The following is an 8,003-nucleotide window of genomic DNA, read 5'->3' as shown; positions in this document are numbered from 1 at the left end:
TTCTCAGAAAGCTTCTCTCTAGTTTTTATGTGAAGATATTTCCTTTTTCACCATAGGCCTCAATGCATTCTTAAATATCCTTTTGCAGTTTCTATGAAAAGACTGTTTCCAAGCTTCTCAATCACAAGAATGGTTCAACACTGTGAGATGACTGCACACATCAAAAAGAAGTTTCTCAGGAAGCTTCTGTCTAGTTTTTACATGAACATATATCCTTTTTCAACATAGGCCTCAAAGCACTCATAAATATCCCTTGGAAGATTCTACAAGAACAGAGTTTCCAAACTGCTCAATGAAAAGAAAGGTTTGCCTGTGTGACATGAATGCACACATGACAAAGAAGTTTCTCAAAACCTTCCTTCTAGTTTTTATGTGAATATATTTCCTTTTCACCACAGGCCTTAGTATTCTCCCAAATACTATTTTGCAGATTCTATTAAAAGACTATTTCCAAACTGCTCAATCACAAGAATGGTTCAACCCTGTCAGATGAATGCATGCAACACAAAGAAGTTTCTCAGAAAACGTCTTTCTAGTTTTTATGTGAATATATTTCCTTTTTCACCATAGGACTCAAAGTGCTCACAAATATCCCTTTGCAGATTCTGGAAGAAAAGAGTTTCCAAACTGCTCAATGAAAAAATCGTTTAGCTCTGTGAGACGAATACACACATCACAAAGCAGTTTCTCAGAAAGCTTCTTTCTAGTTTTTATGTGAAGATATTTCTTTTTACACCATAGTTCTAAAAGCACTCCCAAATATCCCACTTCAGGTTCATATAAAAAGACTGTTTCCAAACTGCTCAATCAAAAGAATAGTTCAACTCTGTGAGATGAAAGCACACATCACAAATAAGTTTCTCAGAAAACTTCTGTCTGGTTTTTACGTGAAGAGATTTCCTTTTTCACCATAGGCCACAAAGTGCTCCAAATATCCATTTGCAGATTCTACAAAAACACTGTTTCCAAACTGCTCAATAGAAAGAAAGGTTCAGCTCTATGAGATGAAGAACACATCACAAAGTAGTTTCTCACAAAGCTTCTGTCTAGTTTTTATGTGAAGATATTTCCTTTTTCATAATAGGCCTCAATGAGCTCCAAATATCCATTTGCAGATACTATAAAAAGACTCTTTCCAAAACTGCTCAGTAGAAAGAAAGGTTCAACTCTGTGAGATGAAAGCACCCATCACAAAGAAGGTTTTCAGAAAGCTTCTGTCTAGTTTTTATGAGAAGATATTTCATATTTCATCATAGGCCTCAAAGGGCTCACTAATATCTCTCTGCAGATTCTACAAAAAGATTGTTTCCAATCTGCTCAATCAACAGTAAGGTTCATCTCTTTCATATGAATGCACACATCACAAAGAAGTTTCTCAGAAACCTTCTGTCTAGTTTTTATGTGAAGATATTTCCTATTTCACCATAGGCCTCAACTGGCTCCCAAATGTCCCTCTGCAGTTTCTACAAAAAGATTGTTTCCAAACTGCTCAATTGAAAGAAAGGTTCAACATTTGAGATGAATGTGCACATCACAAAGAATTTTCTCAGAACGCTTCTGTCTAGTTTTTATGTGAAGATATTTCCTATTTCACCATAGGCCTCAAAGGGCTCTTAAATTTCCCCTTGCAGATTCTACAAAAGGACTGTTTCCAAAGTGCTCAATCAAAAGAAATCTTCAAGTCGGTGGGATGAATCTACACATCTCAAAGCAGTTTCTCAGACTCTTTCTGTCTAGTTTTTAGGTGAAGATATTTCCTATTTCTCCATAGGCCTCAAAGGAGTCACAATATCCCTCTGCAGATTGTACAAAAAGAATACTTCCAAATTGCTTAATAAAAAGACAGTTTCAACACTTTGATATGAATGCGCACATCACAAAGAAGTTTTTCAGAATGCTTCTGTGTAGTTTTTATGTGAATGTATTTACTATTTCTCCATAGGCCTCAAAGGGCTCACAGGTATCCCTCTGCAGGTGGATGAAAAGACTGTTTCCAAACTGCTCAATCAAAAAAAAAAAAGGTTCAACTCTCTGATATGAATGCACACATCACAAAGAAGTTTCTCAAAATGCTTCTGTTTAGTTTTTATGTGAAGATATTTCCTTTTTCACCATAGGCCCCAAAGCACTCCAAATATCCATTTGCAGATTCTACAAAAAGACTGTTCCAAAACTGATGAATGAAAAGAAAGTTTCAACTCTGTGAGATGAATGCACACATTGCAAAGAAGTTTCTCAGAATGCTGCTTCCAGTTTTATGTGAAGATATTTCTTATTTCGCCACAAGCCTCAAAGGGCTCTGAAATAATATCCCTTTGCAGATTCTACAAAAAGATGGTTTCCAAACTGCTCAAAAAGGAAAGCTTCAATTCTGTGAGATGAATGCATATATTACAAAGGAGTTTGTCAAAACCTTCTGTCTAGTTTTTCTGTAAAGATATTTTCTTTTTCACCATGGGCCTCAAAGTGCTCCAAATATCAATTTGCAGACTCTAAAAAAAGACGGTTTGCAAACTGCTCAATCAAAAGAAAAATTCAACTCCGTGAGATGAATGCAGCAATCAAAAAGAAGTTTCTTAGAATGTTTCTGTCTAGTTTTTATGCTAGGATATTTCCTTTTTCACCATAGCTCTCAAACCACTCACAAATATTCCACTGCAGATTCCACAGAAAGACTGTTTCCAAACAGCTCAATCAAAAGAAAGTTCAACTCTGTGAGATGAAAGCACACATCATGATGAAGTTTCTCAGAAAAATTCTGTCTACTTTTTATGTGAGGATATTTCCTTTTTCAAGATAGGCCTTATAGTCCTTTCAAATATCCCTTTGCAGATTCTACAAAAAGACTGTTTCCAAACTTCTCAATCCAGGGAAAGGTTCAAATCTTTGAGTTCAATGCACAGATCACAAAGAAGTTTCTCAAAAAGCTTCTGTCTAGTTTTTATGTGAAGATATTTCCTTTTTCACAAAAGGCCTCAAAGCGCACTAAAATATCATTTGCAGATCCTACAAAAAGACTGTTTCCAAAATGCTCAATCTAAAGAAAGTTTCAACTCTGTGAGATGAAAGCAAACATCACAAAGAAGTTTCTCAGAAAGCTCCTGTCCAGATTTTATGTGAAGATATTTCCTTTTTCACCATAGGCCTCAAAGGGCGCTAAAATATCCCTTTGCAGAGTCCACAAAAAGAATGTTTCCAAACTGCTCAATCAAAAAAAAGGTTCAACTCAATGAGAGGAAAGCATCCATCTCAAAGAAGTTTGTCAGAAAGCTTCTGTCTAGTTTTTATGAGAAGATATTTCCTGTTTCACCGTAGGCCTCAATGGTTTCAAAATATCCCTTTGTGGATTTTACAAAAAGACAGTTTCTAATATGATAAATCAAAAGAAAGTTTCAACTCTGTGAGATGAATGCAAACATCACAAAGAAGTTTCTCAAAAGTCTTCTGTCCAGTTTTTATGTTTAGATATTTCCTTTTTCACCATATGCCTCAAACCACTCACAAATATCCCTATGCAGTATCTACAAAAATCTTATGCAGTATCTACAAAAATACCCCTATGCAGTATCTACTCTTTCCAAACTGCTCAATCAAAAGAAAGCTTCAACTCTGTAAGATGAATGCACACATCACAAAGAAGTTTCTCAGAAAACTTCTGTGGAGTTTTTTGTGCAGATATTTCCTTTTACAACATAGGCCTCAAAGCACTCCAAATATCCATTTGCAGATTCTACAAAAAGACGGTTTCCAAACTGCTCAATGAAAGGAAAGGTTCAACTCTGTGAGATGAATGCACACATCACAAAGAGGTTTCTCAGAATGCTTCTGTCTGGTTTTCATGTGAAGATATTTCCTTTTCCATCATAAGTCTCATATGGCTCCAAAATATCCCTTTGCAGATTCTACAAAAGATCTATTTCCAAACTGCTCAATCAAAAGAAAGCTTCAACTCTGTGAGATGAATGCGCACATCACAGAGAAGTTTCTCGAAAAGCTTCTGTCTAGTTTATATGTGAAGATATTTTCTTTATCCCCATCTACCTCAAAGCACTTGAAATATCAAATTTCAGACTCTACCAAAAACTGTTTGCATACTGCTCAATCAAAAGGAAGATTCAACTCTGAGACATGAATGAACACATCACAAAGAAGTTTCTCAGAATGATTGTGTCTAGTTTTTATGTGAAGATATTTCCTATTTCACCATTGGCCTCAATGGGATCACAAGTATCCCTTGGCAGATTCTACAAAAAGACTATTTCCAAAGTACTCAATCAAAAGAAAACTTCAACTGTGTGAGATGAATGCACACATCACAAAGAAGTTTCTCAGAATGATTGTGTCTAGTTTTTATGTGAAGATATTTCCTTTTACCCCATAGGCCTCAAAGCACACCAAATATCCATTTGTGGATTCTATGAAGACTGTTTCAAAACTGCTCTATCAAAAGAATTGTTCAACACTCTCAGGTGAATGCACACATCACAAAGAAGTTTCTCAGAATGCTTCTGTGTAGTTTTTGTGTGAAGATATTTCCTTTTTCCCCATAGGCCTCTAGGAAGATATTTCCTGTTTCTCCATAGGAGTCTGAAAGTGCACCAAATATCCATTTGTAGATGCTATGAAAAGACTGTTTCCAAACTGCTTTATCAAAAGAATTGTTCAACACTCTCAGATGAATGCACACATCACAAAGAAGTTTCTCAGAATGCTTCTGTCTAGTTTTTATGTGAAGATATTTATTTTTCACCATGTGCCCCAAAACACTCAGAAATATCCCTTTTCAAATTGTACAAAAAGACTTTGCAAACTACTCAGTGTAAAGAAAGGTTCAGCTCTGTGAAATGAATACAAACATCAGAAAAAAGATTCACAGAAAGCTTCTGTGTAGTTTTTATGTGAAGATATTTCCTTTTTTACCATAGACCTCAAACAACTCATAAATATCCCTATGCAGAATCTACCAAAATACTGTTCCAAACTGCTCAATCAAAAGAAAGCTTTAATCTTGTGAGATTAATGCATGCATCACAAAGAAGTTTCTCAGAATGCTTCTGTCTAGTTTTTATGTGAAGATATTTCCTGTTTCACCATAGACATCAAAGGGCTCACAAATATCCCCCTGCAGATTCTACAAAAAGACTGTTTCCAAACTGCTCAATCGACAGAAATGTTCAAGTCTGTTAGATGAATGTATACATCACAAAGAAGTTTCTCAGAATCCCTCTGTCTAGTTTTTATGTGAAGTTATTTCCTATTTCTCCATAGGTCTCAAATGGCTCACAAATATCCCTCTGCAGATTCTACAAAAAGAATGTTTCTGAACTGCTCAATTAAAGAATTCTTCAAATCTGTGAGATGAATGCACAGATCACAGAGAAGTTTCTCAGAAAGCTTCTATCTAGTTTTTATGTGAAGAGATATTTCCTTTATCACCATAGGCCTCAAAGCACCCAATATATCCATTTGCAGATTCTACAAAAAGACTGCTTCCAAACTGTTCAATCAAAAGAAAGGTTCAACTCCTTGAGGTGAATGAAAACATCACAAAGAAGTTTCTGGTAATCCTTCTGTCTGGTTATCCTGTGAATATATTTCCTATTTCACCATGGGACTCAAAGGGCTCACAAATATCCCTTTCCAGATTGTACAAAAAGACTGTTTCTTAACTGGTCAACCAAAAGAAATGTTCAAGTCTGTGAGATGAATGTACACATCACAAAGAAGTTTCTCAGGATCCTTCTGTCTAGTTTTTATGTGAAGATATATCCTATTTCTCCATAGACCTCAAAGGGCTCACAGATATCCCTCTGCAGGTGTACAAAAAGGCTTTTCCCAAACTGCTCAATCAAAAGAAAAGTTCAACTCTTTGAGATGAATACACACATCACAAAGAAGTTTTTCAGAATACTTCTGTCTAGTTTTTATGTGAAGATATTTCCTTTTCCACCATAGGCCTCAAAGCGTTCCAAATATCCATGTGCAGATTCTACAAAAAGACAGTTTCCAAACTGCTCAATCAAAAGAAAGGCTCAACTCTGTGAGATGAATGCCCACATCAAAAAGAAGTTTCTCAGTATGCTTCTGTCTAGTTTTTATGTGAAGATATTTCCTTTTTCACCATACGCCTCAAATCACTCACAAATGTCCCTATGCAGAATCTACAAAAAGACTGTATCCAAACAGCTCAATCAAAAGAAAGCTTCAACTCTGTGTGATGAATGCACACATCACAAAAAATTTTCTCACAAAACTTCTGTCTAGTCTTTTTGTGAAGACATTTCCTTTGTCACCTTAGGCCTGAAAGTACTCAAAATATCCATTTGCAGATTCTACAAAAAGACTGTTCCAAAGCTGCTCAATCAAAAGAAAGTTTCAACTCTGTGAGATGAATGCACACATCACAAAGAAGTTTCTCAGAATTCTCCTTCCAGTTTTTATGTGAAGATATTTCCTATTTCACCATAGGCCTAAAAGGGCTCTAAAATATCCCTTTGCAGATTCTACAAAAAAAAGGTTTGCAAACTGCTCAATCAAAAGAAAGCTTCAACTCTGTGAGATGAATGCACACGTTGCAAAGGAGTTTCTCAAAAAGCTTCTGTCTTGTTTTTCTGTGAATTTATTTTCTTTTTTGCCATGGGCCTCAAAGAGCTCTAAATATAAATTTGCGGACTCTACAAAAAGACTGTTTGCAAACTGCTCAATCAAAAGAACAGTTCAACTCTGTCAGATGAATGCACACCTCAGAAAGAAGTTTCTCAGAATGCTTCTTTCTAGTTTTTATGTAAGGATATTTCCTTTTTCACCATAGCTCTCAAACCACTCAAAAATATTCCACTGCAGGTTGCACAAAAAGACTGTTTCCAAACTGCTCAATGAAAAAAGTGTTTACCTCTGTGAGATGAATGCACTCTTGACAAACCAGTTTCTCAGAAAGGTTCTTTCTAGTTGATTTGTGAACATATTTCCTTTTCACCATAGGCCTCAGTGTGCTCTGAAATATCCCTCTGCAGATTCTACAACAAGACGTTTTACAAACTGCTCAGTAAATAATGGTTCAACTCTGTCAGATGAATGCACACATCACAAAGCAGTTTCTCAGAAACTCTCTTTCCAGTTTGAATCTGAAGATAATTCCTTTTTATATCTAGGCCTCTATGGTCTCCCAAATATCCCTTTGCAGATTCTAGAAGAACAGCATTTCCAAACTGCTCAATGAAAAGAAAGTTTACCTCTGTGAGATGAATGTATGCATCACAAAGCCATTTCACAGAAAGCTTCTTTCTAGTTTTCATGTGAAGATATTTCCTTTTTCACCATAGGCTTCAATGCACTAACAAATATGTCTTTGCAGATTCTCCAAGAACAGAGTTTCCAAACTGCTCAAAGAAAAGAAACTTTTACACCTATGACCTGAATGCACACATGTCAAAGCAGTTTCTCGGAAATCTTCTCTCTAGTTTCTATGTGAAAAAGACTGTTTCAAAACTGCTCTGTTTAAAGAAAGTTTCAACTCTGTGAGATGAATGCACACATCACAAAGAAGTTTCTCCCAAAGCTTCTGTTTAGTTTTTATTTGAAGATATTTCCTTTTTCACCATAGGCCTCAAAGCACTCCAAATATACATTTGTAGATTCTACGAAAAGTTGGTATCCAAACTGCTCTTTCAAAAGAATGATTCAACACTCTGAGATGAATGCACACATCACAAATGTTTCTCAGAATGCTTCTGTCTACTTTTAATGTGAAGTTATTTATTTTTCACCATATGAATCACAATGCTCAGAAATATACCTTTGCCAATAATACAAAAAGACTGTTTGCAAACTGCTCAATGAAAAGAAAGACTCAACATTGTGAGATGAATACACACAACAAAAAAATTCTCAGAAAGCTTCTGTCTAGTTTTTATGAGAAGATAATTCCTTTTTCACCACAGTTCTCAAACTGCTCACAAATATACCTATGCAGAATCTACAAAAAGATTGTTTCCAAACAGCTC

The sequence above is a fragment of the Homo sapiens genome, chromosome 6 (assembly GCF_000001405.40).
Source record: "Homo sapiens chromosome 6, GRCh38.p14 Primary Assembly".
In the NCBI taxonomy this organism is placed as follows: domain Eukaryota; kingdom Metazoa; phylum Chordata; class Mammalia; order Primates; family Hominidae; genus Homo; species Homo sapiens.
The sequence above is the reverse complement of the archived record's forward strand: the minus strand, read 5'-3'. Positions refer to the sequence as shown.